Raw genomic sequence first — 22520 nt, forward strand, 5'->3', positions numbered from 1 at the left:
AAGTTGACTGAGATGTTTGTTAGGATTGAAAAATTTACAACTTCTGCTGAAGTGCTACAGCAGTATTTTCTTGAAATGTGAAATGCATGTTGTTTAAAAGCACAGGCTTTGGAGTGGGAATTCCTTGGTATAGGAACTCCTCTGCTTCCTGAGTAACCTCACTTTCTCCAACTGTAAATTGGAAGTAAGAGTACCTATCTCAAACGAGTTGTGAGGATTAAATTAGCTAATCTGTGTAAAGGTCTTAACTTTGTGGGGCATAATAGGTGCTCAGTATATAGTTTATGAATTAATGAAAAATTAATAAGCCTTTTTGTAGAGAGAAGAACTGAATATATTATAGTAAAATGAAAATCTATTAAGTGCCATAGGAAGGACACAAAGAGTCAAAGGAACACTGAAAAGGGCTTCCTACTGAATGGCAATTGCGAGGAGATTTCGTGTAAGAGATGACATTTGAACTAAATCTTGAAGATTTGAAGATAGAGTGGAATTGCAGCAGTTGTGCTTGGGACGGAAGATATTTCATGTAGAGGTGATGATGTGTATGATCCAAGACTGGGTGGAGGTGGGAGACCTGGGGTTTAGGCAGGAAAGCATAGGGATTTTAAAGGATGGTGAGTAATACTAGAGAGTAAATACATTGAAAAAGATTTGGGATTCAATACTTCGAAGTATTTTGACATCATTTTGTGTGTTCTTGAGAACCATTAGAGACTTTAAGCCGTGCTTTAAGGAGAACGATGCTATGACATGGGTTGGTTACCGAGGGGGGATTTGGAAGAAGAAAGACCTATTAGGAAGATTTTGCAGTGGTGAAAGGAGATAGATTACAAAAACCTTACAAAATATGAGCAAAACTGCCTGCAAAATTAACTAGTAAGAGATGATACATGAAGGAAGAATTCAAAGGTGATTCTGACATTAAAAATCTAAACAGTTGGGACAATAGCTGTATCATTTGCAAACACAATGAAAATGAGCAGGTTGTAAAGAAAGATCACCATTATGGTTTTGAACACATTGAGTTTGAATTTTGTATGATAGAAAGGACAGCCAACTGGAAATGTCAACTTGAGATAGTTTGAACTATAAATATTTGGGAATCATCTGCATGGAAGTAATAGTTGGAATCCTGGGAATGAATCAGCTCAAAGTGTGGTGGAAAACTATTTAGAGCAATGCCTAGAGGAATATGTGGCTGTATCCGTGGAAGAAGGGCAGACAGCAAAAGAGAAGGAAACTATAGTTAGAGGGATAGAGCAGAAAAAATAGAACTGACATTTCTTATTAAAATTTAAGAAAATTTGCAAGTTATTTGACTAGGTTTTCTGAAAGAAAGCTATTACCATTGTTAGGAAGAATAACTAGGTAGCTTTATTACCGTTCACATGTAATCTGCTATGTTAAACAGAAATAATGCATTAAAATTCATTATATTTGCAAGTGTAGTTTTACCTTTTATGGACAGATTTTTGTGTCTTTCTTCCTTTGGAAAGCAATAAATTACAAAGTCAGTTAGAGCTTCTTTTTTCACCCACCTTATAGAAATAGATACATTGCCAAGCATTACAAGTACCATATTTTCCACATAGAATATCTAGGTGTCAAGATTATCTCTAGTGAAAGCTTTGTTTGTGGGGGAAAAAAAAAAGAAGAAGAAGAAGAAAAGGAAAAAACTTTTTATGATCTTGAAGAAATTCATGGCCTTTGAAATTTCTAGAAGAGCCTCAAAAAATAGGAATTCCTGCTGATAATGCATTGGTGGTGGTAATAATAATTGCAATTAATATTTACTGAATGGTACTGTTTGCCATACATTGTTCTAAGTGTTTTACATGCATTTTTTTCATATAACAGTATTTACTGAGTGCCTATGCTGTACCAGGCACTGTTCTGGGCATTTGATTTAGGTTAATAAATGAAACAAACTAAAATTCTTGCTCTTGTGGACATTTTATTTAGTGAGAGCAGACAGATAATAACCAGTAAGCATAACAAATAAAGTATATGGACTCTAAGAAGATGATAAGTCCGTGGAAAAAGTAGAGCAGGGTAAGTGGATTCAGGAGTGCTGAATTGGGGTTGGATGATGGAAATGGATTGCTTTTTTTTCTTCCTTTTCTTCTTGAGATGGAGTCTCGCTCTGTCGCCCAGGCTGGAGTGCAGTGGTGCAATCTCAGCTCACTGCAACCTCTGCCTGCTGGTTCAAGCAATTCTCCTGCCTCAGCCTCCCTAGTAGCTGGGACTACAGGCACGCATCACCATGCCCAGCTATTTTTTTGTATTTTTAGTACAGGTGGGGTTTCACCATGCTGGCCAGGCCAGTCTCGAACTCCTGACCTCATGATCTGCCCGCCTCAGCCTCCCAAAGTGTTGAGATTACAGGTGTGAACCGCCACGCTCGGCCAAATTGCATTATTAAGTAGGATGGTGAGAATAGGCCTAATGGAGAAGATTGCATTGGAGTTAACCATGCAGATATCTGAGAGAGTACCAGGGAAATGGAGCAATCTGAGAGAGTACCAGGGAAATGGAGCAATCTGAGAGAGTACCAGGGAAATGGAGCAATCTGAGAGAGTACCAGGGAAATGTGCAAAGGCCCCAAGGTAGAAACATGTCTGCGATATCCAAGGAACAACAAAGAGATTAATATGATGCCATTTTGAGGAAGATATGGTTTCAGGCATGATGGAACCACAGTCCATTGGCTCCTACTCCTGACTCATGGCTGTTGGCTCTCTCCAAGGAACATGTAGGTTAGGAAACTGTATCACAGCCATGGGTTTAAGCACTGGAGGAACCAGAGGTGGTGATTCACTGAATTAGAATTCCCCTAACCAGCTGCAGTATAAAAATCCCTGAAGAAGTGTGTGCTGACTTGATCAGAGGCACAAAGGAAAAGAATCTCAAAGTGAAAGGACCAGTTGGGATGCCTACCAAGACTTTGAGAATCACTACAAGAAAAACGCCTGTGGTAAAGGTTCTAAGACATGGAATCACTCCCAGAAGAGCATCCGCAAGCAGTTTATTGACTTGCACAGTCCTTCTGAGATTGTTAAATAGATTTATTCGGTCAGTATTGAGCCAAGAGTTGAGGTTGAAGTCACCATTGCAGATGCTTAGGTCAGCTATTTTAATAAATTGATTATCAGTTGTTTTTTTCTTTTTAAGAGGTCAGTATGGTTCAAAGTGTTTAAGGGAGAGAGCAGTGGTTAAGATCAGAGAGGAAATGGACATGGGGAGAGTGAGGCAGATCTTGTTACTACAACCCTATGAGATATGTACCGTTATAATCTGCACTTTACAGATGAGGAAACTGAGATGCAAACAAGTCAAGTAACCTGCCACATCTGTAAAATCAAGAGCCAGCTGTAACAACAAACAGTTTCATCCAATTATGTACTGAAGGTTTCAAAATGATTTAATTGCTAATTCCTTTATGGCTTTCTGTAAAATATTAGGTAAAAGGTCAGTTCTGGAGTAGATGATTTCATTTAACAACGGCTCTATGATTTTCTTTCTTTGTAAACCACCGTGACCATTTATAGGGCTTGTAATTTCATCAAAGTTTCTTCAATTGCATGTGACTTCTTTTTGTTGGAAGTACAGTAAGCATCCCTTAATACAAGGCTTTTATATTAGAACCAATTTAAATTTTGGTTTAGTTCTTCTAGCCTTTTCATATTGAGCCTTCTTAGAAACAGAGGTACAGTCATAATCATAATGATGTAATATGTTTTCTTTAGTTCTTACATACAGAAAGCCATCTAGATCATAATATAGTGCTAATGTCATTTATACATTACCTATGGACATGCTACTGATAATTGAATCGATGTAATGATAGTTACAGATTATCTGGCCCATGTATGTATTACCCATGCTTGGACTGAATCAATACCTTAATAATATAATTTGATATAGAAAAACATTTTAATAAAGACAATTATTTAAATGATAGAAAGTCTAAGAAAAAAATGTTTATGCCTACCTAGTTCAGTGCTCCCCTAACTCATCCATAAACCACTCTTCACTTTACTTCCAGGTTAAATGCCTAGAGGGATTTGAAGGTCACAGTGGATCATTACATGAAAAGATATTTAATAGTTCATTTTTACACTAGATTGCTAGTTAGCTATTATTTTTTCTAAAGTAAATGTAGTATATTGGGATTCCTTTTTTATCTACTTCATTATATTAAGTCGAATTGATCCAAACCGTTGATTTTTATGACCTGTGAGCTTTTCAGCATTGACTTTGTAGAGATGATCATTTAAAGAACAGTATTTTGCTAGATTTATGGTTGTTTACATAATATTTTGTTAATCCGACTGTTAATAAAAAATGAGAAGTTATTTTAGTGGTGTTTCTTAGTAGTATTCTCACAAAAGCAGTGAATGCATAAATCATAATTATGTGGGGTTGATGATTTTAATTGTTTGGTACTAACATGCTTTTGTCAAGTGGGGGCATCATTGATCTTTCTTAGGTAAGCAGTGTAGTAAGAATGCTTTGCTTTTTAAACTTAAATGGTATTAGGAGTAAATACTTGTTCTCTTTTCATTTTACTTTAGAGGGCCTGTATTTAATATGTAAGGTTTCTTATAATAGCTAGCACTTTTAATTAGTAGCAAGATTTAAAGTCCGGAAACATTTAGCAGTTTTCTTTGTAGTTTTCAATTGTACTAGCCTCTAAAGTTACCATCACAAATTGCAGTTGTTATTCAGTAAAAGAAAATGATATGGTTTTAATAATAATAAAACTTTAGAATAAAATTGTTAATATATAATCTTAGGTTTGTTATTATTATTGATGTTTTAAGTATATGAACAAGGGTAAAAGTATATACTTACCATTTAAAACACACACACTACTAACTCACCTGGTATTCAAAAGTAGCTCTCAATGATAATTAGAAAGTATTTTGAGCATATCCAAAATACATACTGTTGTGTGCTGTTGCTACCAACACCTGACTGTTGCTAATAACTCTAAAACTGTTTTGCCATCATTAAATTTATATAAGAAGCATGTTTGAATATGGTTATCATTGTGCTATTTACTTAAAATGCATATATGATTACTGTATTTTTAAAACTAATGATAATTTTAATCTTTCCACTGTTAAAAATTTGTGTTACATTTGGACCTCGAAATACATTATTTTTAACCTAGTCAAAAAGAAACCGTATTTGTACATGATTGCATTTGGGGGAAATTTTGAGGGTGTGAGAATTACATAGGTATTTAGCCTTAAGTATTTCAAAACTTTAACGTGATGTTTCCATCAGCAAAGCTCTTGGCCTGTTCTTATGTATAAGTTTAAAATCTTGCATATCTGCATCCTTGTCAGGCAAATGCCAAGGGCTAAAACTGAAGATAATTTAAGATTTATGTCTCCCTCTTGGAGGTTACAGTTGTCGTGAATTGACAGTTGTGAAGGATCTAAACTGACATCAAAGGGTTCAAATGATCTGATTAGGTCAATTAATGTTAATTTTCATCTTCCATTAAATTCTTTTAATGTTTTCCCCTTTTCATTTTTTTCTAGCCAAGCCCTATACCAAGTCCTGTTTTGGGGCGAAAGCCAAATGCTAGTCAGTCTTTGCTTGTATGGTGTAAAGAAGTTACAAAGAACTACCGAGGAGTAAAAATCACCAATTTTACTACATCGTGGAGAAATGGTTTATCTTTTTGTGCAATATTACACCACTTTAGACCAGATTTAATGTAAGTAGAAACATTTTCCATTCCCTATATTTTGTAAGTGATAGACATTTTTGAAAAGAACATAAAATAATTTCTTAGCACATCCTGAAATAATTTATATTTGTTTTATTACCCCACCTCTTGCTTTTGAGAGATATATGTCAGAAAGCTTTTCCTTTTTCATACCTAAAAACAATCTTTTCTCTTTTTAAAAGTGGTGGCTGGGCGTGGCGGCTCACGCCTATAATCTCAGCACTTTGGGAGGCCAAGGCGGGTGGATCACCTGAGGTCAGGAGTTTGAGACCAGCCTGACCAACATGGAGAAACACCGTCTCTACTAAAAATACAAAATTAGCCAGGTGTGGTGGCGCATGCCTGAAATCCCAGCTACTTGGGAGGCTGAGGTAGGAGAATCGCTTGAACCCAGGAGGCAGAGGTTGCGATGAGCCAAGATCGTGCCATTGCACTCCAGCCTGGGCAACAAGAGCGAAACTCCGTCTCAAAAAAAAAAAAAAAAAAAAAAAATGGTTTTTCTCCTTAATCTCAAAGAACTGACTTCAAATTATTATGAAAATTGTGTTAGTGTTAAAATGAGATGAGACAAATAAGCCTGTAATTCTTTACATTGACAACAAGGGATTACCTCATACTAAATTTGGTTGTCAAGGCTAGTCTTTGGTCCCCTGCCTTAACCTCTCTTTTAGATGGAAAGCTTCAGGCAGCGAAACGTGTAATCACTGTTTTTATTCATTTATTTATTTATTTCTTTAATTTTCCACACTATTAGTTTTGTTGATTGAATTGCTGTGAAATTGCTGGTTACTCTTTAGTATTATTGAATGTCAAATTTTTAGATTCAGTTTGTTTTAAAAACAGCTGTTTTTATCAAATACTATATGTACCCACTGTGCTATTTTCTCCCTCAGTGACTACAAGTCTCTGAATCCTCAAGATATTAAAGAGAACAACAAAAAGGTAAGAATTGATGAGCAAGAAAAATACGTAGTTTCAATTTTGGCTTCTCTGCAGGTCTTTATTAATTTGGAGAAAGTGAGGCAGTTTTATGAGGTCATAACTACAACTCACAGAGGGTTGTCTGCTTACTGCGGTTCATTAGGATACATGGTTTACTCTGGTTTATCATGGACTTTTAAAGACCACAAGTGCCAGGTTGGCATCATATTATAATATGCATATTATCTTTTTAACTGTTGAATATTTGTTAAAGCATAGTGCTTTTTTTCTAAGATTTAGCTTTTTAAAAATGCACCCAAAACTGTTGTGCCATAGTTGTTATGTAAGTTTAGAAAATATGCTGGTTGGGGATGAGAACGAGAGCCTAATGGTAAGCAAGAGAGAATACTTAGGTTCTGAGAGGCAAAAATATATAAACCTTGGTTCTTTTCATTTTCTGGTAAACCGTATACAGTTATTGCGCTGCAAAACAACATTTTGGTCAAAAACAGACCACATAGATGGTGATGTACCGTAAGATTATAATACCTCATTTTTACTGTACCTTTTCTATGTTTAGATACACAAATACCATTGTGTTACAATTACCTACACTATTCAGTATAGGAATATGCTGTGCAGCTTTGTAGCTTAGGTATAGCCTAGGTATGTAGTAGGCTGTACCATCTAGGTTTGTGTAAGTACCCACTGTGATGTTTGCACAACAACAAAATCTCCTGACAATGCATTTCTCAGCATATATCCCCATTGTTAAGCAACACATGACTATATTTTCCCACATAATTAATCAATATATTGAGATCAGAACTTCCCAACTGGTATGGGGCAAGGGGATATCGATCCTTTCAGCTTTCAGGGCATCTGTGTAAGGCTGAGTTGCTGGAGCCCTGGGCCAGCTAACTGTGGCCACAGGCTGACTTATCTGTTTACCCCAGCACACAGTATGTGCATTCTGTGTGCAAAGAGGGAAGCACCTAACTCAGCACACAGTAGGCACTGAATGCTTTTTTCTACTGAATTGAATTCTTCAACTGAAAAATTAATGAAATTTATTATTGTCTTAGAACAGGAGTTCTTAACCTGTGAACTGTGGGTAGAAATCAGGGTGTCCTTGAACATGGTTGAGGGAAAAAATACATTTTACTTTCATAATTCCTCATCTGAAATTTAGCATTTCCTTCAATTATGAATTTAGGCAATAAACCACCATAGTGTTAACCATGCCTGAGACTTTGTCACCTTTAGAAATCACAGATATTTTCGATATTTTCATGTCATGCTATAGTTGTTGCTGCAGATATCTGCAAATACCTTTTACACTTATAACTTCTTCAAAATAATTAGTGCAGTCATAAAAAGCACATATATTACTACTTCCCAAATTCATTTTAAGTAATACTTTCATAGGTGTATTTTTCAGTATAATTGATGTCTTTTGTAATTCTATGTATTTTATCCATGTAAAACATTATTCTGAGAAGGGACCCATTGCCAAAAGGGTTCATGAGACAAAGTGGTTAATAACCTCTAGTCTAAAGTTTTTAACATACTTTAAATTAAATAATTAAAATTACTAGTGATACAAAGTCTTGGGACCTTGATAGAAGTTCAATTAACAAGTCTTTAAATCAAAACAATTTTTCACTTGTATTGCTCTCTAAAACCAAAAATGTGTATTGCTATCAAAAAGATTTTGTTTCTTCAGCCTGGGGAATGTAGCAAGACCCCATCTCTACAAAAAATGAAAATGTTAGCTCAGCATGGTGGCATGCACCTGTAGTCCCAGCTACTTGGGAGGATGAGGTGGGAGAATCGCTGGAGCCTAGGAGCCCGAGGCTGCAGTGAGCTAGCATCATGCCACTGCTTTCCAGCCTGGGTGACAGAGCAAGACCCTGTGTCCAAAAACAAACAAACAAACAAAAAAATGGTTGTTTTTTCACAAATGCATAATGCTGGCCGTAGAGCAATAAAAACCTGGCAGTCTCTATTGAAATATGCCACCAAAAAAAAGATAATCTTTAAAAATCAGTATAGTTTTCTTACAGAAATTACCCTTTGGATGGGCATGTTACAAAGTAAACTGTTCTCATGAATTAATTCTTGTATAATTTTGGAGAGCCTGTGTCTATTAAAGTGAAATGCTTCTTTTTCATTAATTACAATTAAATTATATCTTTGGGTGTGGCAGTGCTTTACCTCCATTTTCTTACATTTGAACAAAGTGGTAAGCCAATTTAAATACAGACATGAGCATTATAAAATAAACCATTTTTTAAAGTGGATGTTTCAACTTACTGTTCAAAATTTTGAAAAAGAAATATTGTTGATTTTACCTCATTATAAATGTGTAAAGAATATAGGGAATCTCAGTAAGGCTTAAGTCACACTTCTTTACATTAGCTTTTCATTAACTTAATAATGGTAAGCATACTTTGGATTTACATATTACTCCATACAGAAGACTGTCCCATTAAAATTTTTTTTCAATTAAATCTTCCAGTACAGACAATCATGGCTTTTGAAAGGCTTTATCTTTGATGATTCTATTCATTGTATTATTCAATAAATAATTGTTTTTACATAGTCTTTCCTTTCATCATTTGCTACTTCTTACCTGATAGCTACATTGAGTTGCTACCTGCAAATTACTTCTAGCTTCACACATTTCTTCCCAATAACCCATGTGCCCTTGAATGGACTTAAAGCACCATAGGAAAACAATGCCTGTGTCTTAAATTTCATACAGATGCATAACATAACTGGCAGTAACTCCTCCTTACCAATTTAATAACATCTACAAATGAATAAGATAATTTTCTTAGAAAGACCTCTTTTTTCACCTCACACAAACAGGTGAAAAACAGTAGGTAGTTAGTTGACCATGGCAGAAGAGGTTAACCTATGGGAAAAGTCCTTTATAAAGCCTTAACCTTGCTTAAAAGAAACCTAGTTTGTTTTTAAATGTTTTTTTAGTGTAATTAGTGTACATAAAATGAATTGCTACATGAAGCAAAACACCAGCAGGAGTTTCCCCACAAGGAAGCTAATCATTTTCCTGGGTCTGTAAAAAGTGCTGAATAAAAAAAGGCATTTTCCTGTGACATCTGATCTTAACCAATATGTCAGTGTTTTTAGATAATTTGGGAATGTTTAGAATACTGCCTGTGGTGCTTTCCCTGATGGCCTGCAATTGATGCCTGTCAGTCAAGTTGTCAAGACACATGAAAAGGAAAATGACTTCAATTTTCCTAAAACATGTAAAATAACAAACCAAGCCTATACATGCACACCAACTGAGTCATTCTCTCTAGTAAATATTTTGAGGTACCTATATTATGAAGCCTAGTGCTGTGAAAATTGAAGAGGTTTTAATATCACAATTTATTTTTCATTTTCTTTCTTACTTGTTCCATAATGTTTGTTAAACTACAAGAATATGAGACAAAGATTAAATTCAAACATAGCAATGTACTTTAACAAGTAAGTACAGAAGACTGATTCATTCTCAATTGTTACATAATTTCCTAACATGTCTTTTAAGAAAAACTTTGAATTATAATCCTTAATCTAGGTTGCTAAAAAGAGTAAACATTTTACATCCCAGAGCAAGAATATATCTAGACGGTTCTTACTTTCTCTGAGAGTATATCTAAACCTTTAGCCATACTTTTAATGCTTCCTAGCAACACAATGCTGTTTTCAAGGGTTAGTTCAGGATAGTAATAATTAATTGTAAATTGAGAAACAGCTTAGATTATTCAAAACTAGAAAAACCTGATGTGCCACAGTCATTTAAAGGCTAACAAAAATAATACAATGCAGCCTCACATTCTCAACTAGGTTGTAGTACTCAAAACATTTCATTCTTTCCAAAATGAATGAATTAAATGAAGTCACTCTTTTCATTATGAAAATCAGTCTTAATTGAGCATTTAAAAATGTTTCTGTTTCTAGGCTTAAATTGCATTTATTTGTATTTTATATCAGGTAATCTAGTAGTTCTTTTGACTTATCTAGCTGTGCTTTTCTTCACAAATCACTGCAATTACATGACTGTGGAAAAGAGAGGTTGATAGAAATGATAAAGCTCAATATGGATTAGTCTAATGTTTCTTTATACTTTAGTTCCTTATCTTAAAAATCCATTCTCAGAGTTTTAAAAAATTTAACTCTCATTTTTGCTTGTTTCATTTATTGGAAAAAATATTTTAATTCTTATTTATTACACTTTTTTCTCTTGCCTCTCCCCCCACTTTTACACATGTCTGACTTTTGGAAATTTGTTCTTTTCATGTGACATAATGTCGATAACATGTACCCAAACAACAAAAATTAAAAATGTGCTCTTTTTAAAATGTGTGAATTATATGAACTGTTCAATATATCTTTTGTTTTTCCTTCCTTTGAAGGCATACGATGGATTTGCCAGCATAGGAATTTCCCGATTATTGGAACCTTCTGATATGGTATTATTAGCAATTCCTGATAAACTGACTGTTATGACTTATCTCTATCAAATAAGGGCACATTTCAGTGGCCAAGAACTAAATGTCGTTCAGATAGAGGAAAACAGCAGTAAAAGCACATATAAAGTTGGAAACTATGAAACAGATACAAACAGTTCTGTTGATCAAGAAAAATTCTATGCAGAGCTTAGTGATCTGAAGCGGGAGCCTGAACTACAACAGCCTATCAGCGGAGCAGTAGACTTCTTATCACAGGATGACTCTGTATTTGTAAATGATAGCGGGGTTGGAGAGTCAGAAAGTGAGCATCAAACTCCTGATGATCACCTTAGTCCAAGCACAGCCTCCCCTTACTGTCGCAGGACTAAAAGTGACACAGAACCCCAGAAGTCTCAGCAGAGCTCTGGAAGGACTTCAGGATCTGATGACCCTGGAATATGTTCCAATACAGATTCAACCCAAGCACAGGTTTTGTTAGGCAAAAAGAGACTATTGAAAGCTGAGACTTTAGAATTGAGTGACTTATATGTTAGTGATAAGAAGAAGGATATGTCTCCACCCTTTATTTGTGAGGAGACAGATGAACAAAAGCTTCAAACTCTAGACATCGGTAGTAACTTGGAGAAAGAAAAATTAGAGAATTCCAGATCCTTAGAATGCAGATCAGATCCAGAATCTCCTATCAAAAAAACAAGTTTATCTCCTACTTCTAAACTTGGATACTCATATAGTAGAGATCTAGACCTTGCTAAGAAAAAACATGCTTCCCTGAGGCAGACGGAGTCTGATCCAGATGCTGATAGAACCACTTTAAATCATGCAGATCATTCATCAAAAATAGTCCAGGTAAGTGAGTTAGAATGCTGAATACTATATTTAGTAATTAGTTATTCTCTGTTTTTGTTTCTTTTTGCATTCATAGATGCTACAAATGATTAAAGGTGAAGTGTAATTTCTATTATAAAAACTCCTGAGGCATGTAGTAATGTGTGCCTAAGTCCCCACTATTTGGGAGGCTGAGGAAAGAGGATTGCTTTGGCCTAGGAGTTTGAAACCAGCCTGGGTAACATAGCGAGTCCCTGTCTCAAGAAAAGAAAAACCTGAAATATACCTGCTGTATATTTAAGGTTTATGATATAATATTTTAAGCCTAAAAATCCCAATTTCAACACTGAAGGATATTGTGTAATAAGGCTATGAGAAAAAAATTGAAGGATAAAGAATGTCAACTTTTCAAATAAAAATATTACTTATAAAAACAATATTCTACTATAAAATAAATCAAAGATGTTTCAATATTCCATTTAATAAGAACATCATTCTAAAAATGTATAATGCCAAATTAAATATTTCCCATTTAAAACATTTTCCTTAGGTATTTTAGTTGGTTTATTTAGTCCCATCATTACTTGTGGTTAAAAATCCCTGCAGCATCCAAATTTCTCCTCATGAAGGGAATACTGTACGGTTTTAACCTTTCTCTTACTGATGATATTAATAATTTACTGTTTTTACTTGTATCTCTGGTACCATCAGTTATAAGATATACTAATATTTTATGTACCACAACAAAAAAGAACAACATTGTCAATAAAGTTATGATACCTGGTTTTCCTATCACTCAGAATTTTTATAGCTATTGAAAGAGCTCTTTTAGACTTATTTAGGCATAGATTATTTGATCAGATAACACTCGTGTATATATAAGGAGGAAATTTTAGGCAAAATAAATTGATTAAGGTATTCCTAAAAGTTTTTCACATTTAGAATCCAGCTCTTCTGAATCACTTTTTGATTTAGAGTTGTTGGTATTCCTTTTTTTTTTTTCTGCACAGTTATCCTCTGTGCCATCAAAAGCATTGTTACAGTAAATGGTTCTCAAAGCCAGATTTGGGGGCCTCTGAAGTTCTCCAAGTCCCTTTCAGAGAGCCCCCAAAGTTAAAGCTATTTTCATAATAATACTAGGGCATTGTTTGCCTTTATCACTCTCATTCTCTCACAAGAGTATGATGGCATTTTCTGGAAGTTACATGATTTGTGATATCTCAACAGATTGAATACAAAAGTAGATATAGGAATTCAGCTGCTTTCTTTTATATTGAGATTTACAAAATATGTAAAATACTGCCACCCTTCTCAATTTTTGTTTTTAAAGTAATTATTTTCTATTAAAATGTGTTAACATCTAATGAGTTCATTGTGGCTACTTCTAAATGAAAAAAATATTTTAAAAATATATCAGTTTTAATATCAAAAATGACAAATATCAGTAGATACAATCTGTATAAGCAAGAGTTTTTTGGGATCCTCAATAATTTTTAAGCATATATGGGGATTTCGAGACCAAAAAATTGGGAAATCTCTGAGTTGTTTTTTCTTTTTTTTTGAAACAGAGTTTCACTCTTGTTGCCCAGGCTGGAGTGCAATGGTGCCATCTTGGCTTACCACAACCTGTGCCTCCCAGGTTCAAGCAATTCTTCTGCCTCAGCCTCCCGAGAAGCTGGGATCACGGGCATGTGCCACCACACCCGGCTAATTTTGTATTTTTAGTAGAGACGGTGTTTCTCCATGTTGGTCAGGCTGGTCTCAAACTCCTGACCTCAGGTGATCCACCCGCCTTGGCCTCCCAAAGTGCTGAGATTACAGGTGTGAGCCACCGCGCCCGGCCCGAACCTCTGAATTTATAGCATTTCTCCACAACTGTCTCTGGGATTTTCTTCCAAGTCAGTATACTGATTGATAATGGCACTTTCTTGGCTTTACCAGAAGGTTTCAACAGAAGATTTTTAGACAGTAATCTGGAGTTATGTTTCTTTCTCAAATAGTCCTCAAGTGGTGTTGACTGAAACATCAAGGAATTGCCATCATGCCAACTGAAATATCAAACAATATACGTATAGGTAGACAACCATGTCTTAACTGCCACCTGGATGACAGAGAGTGTAAGATTCTGCCATTTATAAGTTTTCAGAGGTGTCAAGAAAGAATTTATATCTTAGAATTAAAGAAATATAATAGCTGCCAAAGCAAGCCCCTGTTCTCCTAATCATAAACCTCAAATCAAAAGTCCTAAGTAGCTAAATCTCTCTGAAAGCTTTCAGGACAGCATATGTCCACACATAGTAGATAATCAATAAACATCTAGTGATTGACAATTTCAAGAACTTGATGACCCTAAATTGTCATATTCAATACAAATTTTTCTTTTTTTTTTTTTTGGGGGGGGGGGGTGGAGTCTTGCCCTGTCACCCAGGCTAGAGTGCAGTGGCGTGATCTCACCTCACTGCAACCTTCTCCTCCCGGGTTCAAGTGATTCTCCTGCCTCAGCCTCCCGAGTAGCTGAGACTACAGGTGTGTACCACCATGCCCAGTTAATTTTTGTATTTTTAGTAGAGATGGGGTTTCACCACATTGGCCAGGCTGGTCTCGAACTCCTGACCTCAGGTGATCCTCCTGCCTCAGTCTCCCAAAGTACTGGGATTACAGGTGTGAGCCACCGCGCCTGGCCAGATTTTTCTTGAAAACCAGATTTTTAAGGCAAATATGTTTAGTTAAAACTAGGAATTGATTGATGTTTAAAATTTTAAAATACCCTGGACTGGGAATCAGTAAGCCTGGAATCTCGTTTTGACTCTCCCAATAAATTAGTAGTGTGACATGTTAACTAGCCATTTAGCCTCTCTCGATCTTATTTTCCATGTATGTTAAATGAAGCAATCTTTAAGAACCCCTTTAGCTGTGAAACTATCATTCTGTGATTCTATTCAGATGATTAAAGTGTACTGGATGATAGAAGCAATGTCTATTCATAGCTCCATGTATGTTTTCTCTTTGGCCATTGGCTTATTCAGAATTTTTCTTGGGGTAAGTTTAAAGGTTTTTATTGACACTGGATTGGCAAAAGTAATGTCTAACAATAAACACTGTAATATAGGTGCTGACATTTGGTAGGCTTTTAAAATTGTATATAGCAGCTGAATTTTGGACAATTAAAAATCTGTTTCTCTTTTGTACAAAGTATTTCAATTCTCAGATACACATCTTTTTACATTTTAACTTCTCCGAAATCAATATATTATTTATAATAGATAGTGTATTAGAGTTTAATTGACAGCGTTTGTTCTTTCTTAGTAGTTCATAAAATAATAGTAACTCTTACAATTAAGACCATTGGATTAGAGGAAATTTAGTAACTTTAATATGGCTTTATATACTTAACAAAGTCATAATGTTGTCCATTTGGGTGCCTAATACATGTGATGACAGTTATATATCTTACACCTATCTCTTAGACTTTACAACTCATAAGGTAAGTAGTCAAATTCTATATTATATGTGGGAAATCTGAGGTTTGCAGAGTTACTTAAGATTACATGATAAATGTTAAAGTTTGAATTCAAAAGCAACCTTGTCTTCAAAGTCTGTGCTTCTCCACTTGATGCTTATAACATCTTTATTTACCATAATAGCATTAAAAAATAATCGTAGCCCAAATATAATGTGGTCAACATTACTGAAGGGCAATTTAACAATGTGAATCAAATTCCTTAAAAATCTTTATCTCATTACATCCTACTTTCAGGAATTTTTCCTAAGGAAATAATTAGAATTGTATAATATGGCCGGGTACCATGGCTCACTCCTGTAATCCCAGCACTTTGGGAGGCCAAGGCGGGTGGATCACCTGAGGTCGGGAGTTTGAGACCAGCCTGACCAACATGGAGAAACCCTGTCTCTACTAAAAATATGAAATTAGCCAGGGTGGTGGCACATGCCTGTAATCCCAGCTACTCGGGAGGCTGAGGCAGGAGAATTGCTTGAACCCGGGAGGCGGAGGTTGCGGTGAGCCGAGCTGGCGCCATTGTACTCCGGCCTGGGCAACAAGAGCGAAAGTCCGTCTCAAAAAAAAAAAAAAAAAAAAAAAAGGTATAATAAAAATTTACTTCTAAAGATATTCATAAAAGCATTATTTATGATAGTAAAAAATTGTGTGCAACCTAAATGTTCAGCAAAATAAGACAAGTTAACTAACGTATGATGCATCTATACAATATAATGTTAGGTAGCCAATTAAAAATCAAGTTTTAGGCTGGGCATGGTGGCTCACCTGTAATCCCAGTACTTTGGGAGGCTGAGGTAAGAGGATCGCTTGGGCCTGAGAGGTCAAGGCTGCAGTGAGCTGTGATCATGCCATTGGACTCCAGCCTCGGTGACAGAGTGAGACCCTGTCTCAAAAAAGTAAAATAATAAAATAAAATAATAAAAAAATTATGTTTAAAAAACATTTAAGACCATGAGAAAATGCTCAAAATAGAATAAGTGAAAAAAAAAGCATGATTCTACAGTTATTATCTCTGGGTACCAGGACTACTACTAATGTTTATTTTTTTCTTTTTAACTTGTATTTATTTTCTGAAATCTCTGTAGTGAATTGCATTTCTAGCCAGGAAAATTAAAAAAAAACTGTGTTTATGTGCTGTTAAACACAATTGGTGATTTTATAATCTTTTGGTGATTTGATTTTGGTCTTAAGACCAAAACATCTTTTCACTGTCCATGTAGCTGGTTGGAATTACCAAAAGACTATAAAATCACAGAATTTAGAGCTAGTGAGATCTTAAAGATGATCCCTCATTTCAAAGATTAGGAAATCAAGGGATTAAAACAAGTAGTTAATGTTTATTCAGTGCTTGCCATGTGCCAGTGCTCAGTACATTATGCTATTATTTAATCTTTGCCCTGTCCTTCTGAGAGTTGGTCTATTTCTATCCTTATTTTATAAATGAGGAAACTGAGGCTTAGAGAAATTAACTTGCCCATAATTAAGTGGTGGAACTGATATTTGAACCCAGGTCTGTCTGACTCCACATCATGTAATGGAATGCAGTAAGTTTTTAACTGACCTGCTCAATGTTACATTGCTTATTATTAGTGGGAGAGGGATTAACAGCCTGATGTCTTGACTGAAAATTCAGTGTTCATTTAATTAATTTTGTCTGTTTTTGAGACACTGTTGATATTGTAACTAAATTCTATTGTGTCCTATTCAACATGAACTTAGACTTATCGTTATCACTTATACATTTTATTTGTATCTATTAAGTTAAGAATTTTTGTTTAATCCTCTTAAAAATCTTTGGGTGATGAAAATGTCCTGGAATTAGGTAGTGGTGATAGTTCATAACCTTATGAAATACTAAAAACCACTGAATTGTACACTTTAAGAAAAATCTTTTCTTCTTTAAGTTTATAGAAAAAAAGGCTTTAAAAAATAGTTGTAGTAAAATATAAAGACCACAAAGAAGCCCAAAAATGCTGAACTAATCTTAAAAAAGATGGTTTCACATAATATGAAATAAAGTAATAGCTACACTTATTTTCTTTTCCTTGACAGTGATACTTATGATTGAACCAAAACTATGCAATGAAAGGGAAGTAAAAGAAATTAAGTATCTGATAATAGTAATAGACATCTAAAGCCAGAAGTTGGTTACTTAGTAGAAAAAAAAGGAATTTGGACTATAAGGAGTATGAATATTTGTGCTTTTGGTTTAAGAACTGATCTCTGTTGATGGACAGTATCTGTTGTTCTCCAAAATTACATTGTAAAATTACAGATTAATCCAGGAGAATACTTTTTCAATTCTAATATTTTCAATTGTTTTGTTATAAGGATAGTGAGCAATGGGGAAGACTAGTTTTACTTTTTTTTAATGAAATATAATAGCTTTGAATTTTCTATAAACATTCTCAAGGATTTAAAGGATTATCGCCACAGATATTTAATATTTATCAACATTCAAATTTGGAAGACATGTTGTTATCAATTCTATAAGACTAAAAATAAAACTCTGAACTTTAAAAAATGTCTTTGTCAGATTATACTGTGTTTATGAGCAAATACTGAGAATATATAGAATATATATTAGCCTCATACCTAATGAGAATATGTTCTAATAAAATTATAATTAAATTTAATCCAGTTTTAGACAGTAAAGATGTATTTCCCTCATGTCAAGATTTATATATTTGTTCCACAGTTTCTAGTCAACATTAATATTCTCTATAGGTAATCTCATGAAGCTACAATCTTATTCATAATCTCTATTATTTCAGCAGATTGTCTAACCTTTCATTAGTTTACAAATGTAGATTACCCGTTTTTTTTTTGGCTTCTAATTCTGTATCTTTGCTTTTAAGCATCGATTGTTATCTAGACAAGAAGAACTTAAGGAAAGAGCAAGAGTTCTGCTTGAGCAAGCAAGAAGAGATGCAGCCTTAAAGGCGGGGAATAAGCACAATACCAACACAGCCACCCCATTCTGCAACAGGCAGCTAAGTGATGTGAGGAGCATTGGTTAAAAAAGACCATAAGTTGTTCATTGTAATCATGGGGAGGAGGGAAGTAATTTGCTTGTATTTCTGCTATGTTATTTTTCTACGGACTGTACATTGTGAATACTTGGTGCACTTACTGAACTGATAAAGATAAATTCATACTTGTAGGACCATTTGATCATTATTCCTACAGAGCAGTGTTAGTGATGAGGAAAAGTAAGATCTGGGAATATAATTTCCACATATACATGAATAATCTGTTTTTTGTTAATTTATATTTTATAACTGTAGTTGTACTCTAAGATTGTATTTTGTCAATGGAAGTTAATTTTGTTGGAAATGTTTGAATATAATACTGATGTCTATTATTTATTGAATACCTACTAAGTATTTCAGGAACAATAATTTTGTTTTACTTAACTCCATGGAGACTGAGGCCAATAGGCAAGGTAACTTGTACAAGGTCACAGAGTCAATAAATGGTGAATCCAGGATTTGAACCTGAGCCTTATTAGATTCCAGAGTCAGTCCACTTTCCTATCATATACTGCCATCCTTGTACTAAACCACATTTTTATATATATTTTTGTGTAGTGCTTCACAGATAATAATGAATGTATAATAACAGGAGCCCTTAAAATTTAGGAGGACACAAACATCTTCATGAATGAGAAAACTGTGACAGTCTCACCACAGCACCATCATGTGTTAGTAGTTGTTTTTCCCAGAAAGAGCAGCTCTGTGCCATATAGCTAGGTAGCTACATGCCAGGTTGGTCACCTTGTTGCATGTGTTTCACGTTTACCCAAAGAAGTACCCTATTGCTTATGAGACTATGCTTTGAATAGTCCCAAGATATTTTCCCACCCTTCCTCTTTCAAGTTATCTATTCCTGCATTAAAAACCACTGCAGGGCTAGGCATGGTGACTTATGCCTGTACCCAACACTTTGAGAGGCTGAGGTGGGAGGATCACTTGAGCCCAGGAGTCTGAGACCAGCCTAGGCAACAGTGACACCCCATCTCTACTTACAGAAAAAAAAAAAAAAAAAAAACCACCGCAAAACTTACTGGCAAAAAACAACCATCTTATTAGGTTAATAGATTCTGTGAGTTAAGAATTCAGATAGGACACAGTGGTAGTGGCTTGTTTATGTTCCATGACGTCTGGGGCTGGCTTTCAGCTAATAAGACCTCTGCCAGACTGTCAGTTGGAACACCTACATGTGGCCTCTCCATATGGTCTCTCTACTTCTCTAGTGTGGGCTTCCTCATAGCATGGTGGCTGACTTCCAAGAACAAGTGTCCCAATGGAATAAGGCATAAATATGTGGCATTCTTATGATCTAGCTTTTCTTAAAAACAAAATCACTTTAAGTTTATTGTAAGAAAGGAAAATTAGTGGCAAATTTCAGTTATGAACATAGATGTAAAAATCCTATAGAAAATATTAACAAATTCAACCCAGAAGTTATTTTTAAAAGTTAACATACCATGGTCAATTTGGATTTATTCTAGGAATGCAAGATTGTTTAATTTTTCAAAACTCAAGCAATGTAATTGACAACATTAACAGAATAAAGAAAAATCAAGCAGATATAGAAAAAGGTTGGAAAAATATCAACATCCATTCATGATCCACAGAGAGAAAAGAATCACATTTCTTAGCCTCTAGGGATAGAAAGGAACTTTATTACTTTATTAATGTGCTAAAATGTACATATAAAAAGCCTATAGCAAACATACTTAATTGTGAAATATTGAAAGCTTTCCATTTGTGACAGATTAAAAGACAGGAAAGTCCACTATCACTTCTGTTCAATATCATAATGGGGAACCTAAGACAAGGAAAAGAAATAAAAAGGTATAACATATGAAAAGAGACCAATAAAATTACCATTATTCACCAGAAGTATGATTCGTACATAGAAAATTCCCCCAAAATTACAAGATTACTGGACATAAAATTAATATTTGAAAATAAATGCTTTTTTTTTTTTTTTTTTTTTTGAGATGGAGTCTCGCCATGTCACCCAGGCTGGAGCGCAGTGGTGCGATCTCGGCTCACTGCAAGCTTCGCCTCCCGGGTTCACACCATTCTCCTGCCTCAGCTTCCCAAGTAGCTGGGATTACAGGCGCCCACCACCATGCCTGGCTAATGTTTTTGTATTTTTAGTAGAGACAGGGTTTCACCGTGATAGCCAGGATGGTCTTGATCTCCTGACCTCGTGATCCGCCCGCCTCGGCCTCCCAAAATGTGAAAATAAATTATATTTCAATAAGATACACAAATGGCCAACAAGCACATAAGAAATAAGAAATATCTTTAGTCTCATTAGTTATCAAGCAAATGAAACTCAAAGCCGCAGTGAGATACCACTATGAGAATGACTAGAATTTAAAAGACTGACAGTAACAAGTGTGGAAGGAATCTGGAGCAACTAGAACTCTCACATTTTGCCAGTAGGAATGTAAAATGGTACAACCATCTTGAAAAACAGGCCATTGCTTATGAAGCTAAACATACACTTACATGACCCCAGCAATTCCATTTTAAGGTATATAACCAAAAAAACTAAAAACACATGGTTATTCGAAGACTTTTACACAAAATTTCATGGCAGTTTTGTTTGTAGTACCCAGAAACAGGACAAAATTTAAATGTCCATCACCAGACAAATGAATAAACACATCCTGATATAGCCATGCAATATAATATTACCCAGCAATACAAAGGAACAGGACACTGAGATGCACAATAATGTAAATGAATCTTGGAGATATTATGCTGCGAACACAAAAGAGGACATGTATAATTACATTCACATGAAATTCTACAACAGGCAAAACTAACGTAGCATGACAGAAAGCCAATTGGTGGTTGCCTGATGCCAGGGTAGGTGGGATATCATGAGCAAACTTTCTAGAGGGATAGAAAAGATTTATAGCTTTATTGTGTCTGATTACACAGGTATATACATTTGTTAAAACATCAAATTTAAAATGGGTGCATATTACTAGATGTAAATTACATCTTTATCTTTTTAAATTATTACAAGCAAAAGTTTTAAAATATTTACAAGAACATTAAAAATACGTAGTATGCTAAGAATAAAGCTAACAAGAAATATGTAGACCTTTAGGCAGAAAACTAAAACATTCTGAAAGATATAAAAGAGTAAATAAATGGAAGGGCATATTATGTTCATAGATTAGAAGACTCAATTTTTTAAACATTTTATTGTGGTAAGAACAGTTAACATGAGAGCTACTCTTTTTTAAAAAATTTGAGTGGATACAATGTTTTATTGCAGGTCTGCATTACTTATTCATGTTGCTCAAATGAAACTTTATTCCTGTAGATTAGTAACTGCCCATTTCTCCCTCCCTCCAGTCCCTGTCTACCACTGTTTCGCTCTTTGATTCCATGAATCCGACTATTTTAGATGCTTCATATAAGTGGAATCGCGCAGTATTTGTCTTTCTATAACTGGCTTATTTCACTTAGCATAATGTCATCAAGGCTCATCTATGTTGTAGAATGTGACAGGACTTTCTGCTTTTTTAAAGCTGAATGGTATTCCACTGTATATGTACCACATTCATTTTATCCGTTCATCTGTCAATAGACATTTAGGTGGTTTTCACATCTTGGCTATTGTGAATAATGCTGCAGTGAACATAGGAGTGCTAAAATCTCTTCAAGATCTTGATTTCAGCTTTTTCTGATAAGTACCCCGAAGTGGGATTGCTGGATCATATGGTAGTTCTGTTTTTAATTTTTTGAGGCACCTTCATATTGTTTTTCCATAACAGTTGCACTATTTTATATTACCACCAACAGTGTGCAAAGATTCCACTTTCTCCACATTCTCACCAACACTTGCTACTTTAGTTTTTTAAATAATAGCCATTGAACAAGCATGGAGTGACATCTCATTGTGATCTTGATTTGCACTTTCCTGATGACTAGTGACATTGAACATCTTTTCATGTACCTGTACCTGTTGTCCATTTGTATGTCTTCTT

General features: G+C 34.9%; 1 protein-coding gene and 1 pseudogene across 52 annotated transcripts in view; both read left to right on the top strand.

The window, feature by feature from the left end:
* The window catches only part of EHBP1 (EH domain binding protein 1), a 372610-nt gene that overhangs the window by 263285 nt on the left and 86805 nt on the right, over positions 1–22520 (top strand). For 36 of the 52 annotated variants that reach the window (XM_047443744.1, NM_001142615.3, XM_011532718.4 and 33 more), the window contains 4 exons: positions 5556–5734; positions 6640–6688; positions 11098–12000; positions 18355–18498. In XM_047443744.1, coding sequence (XP_047299700.1) covers positions 5556–5734; positions 6640–6688; positions 11098–12000; positions 18355–18498 — 1275 coding nt within the window. The remainder of the gene's footprint in view (positions 1–5555; positions 5735–6639; positions 6689–11097; positions 12001–18354; positions 18499–22520) is intronic. The other 16 variants (XM_047443762.1, XM_047443770.1, XM_047443767.1 and 13 more) reach the window with 1 other exon arrangement.
* Positions 2711–3160, top strand: RPS20P9 (ribosomal protein S20 pseudogene 9; annotated as a pseudogene).

The sequence above is a fragment of the Homo sapiens genome, chromosome 2 (genome assembly GCF_000001405.40).
Source record: "Homo sapiens chromosome 2, GRCh38.p14 Primary Assembly".
Lineage (NCBI taxonomy): Eukaryota > Metazoa > Chordata > Mammalia > Primates > Hominidae > Homo > Homo sapiens.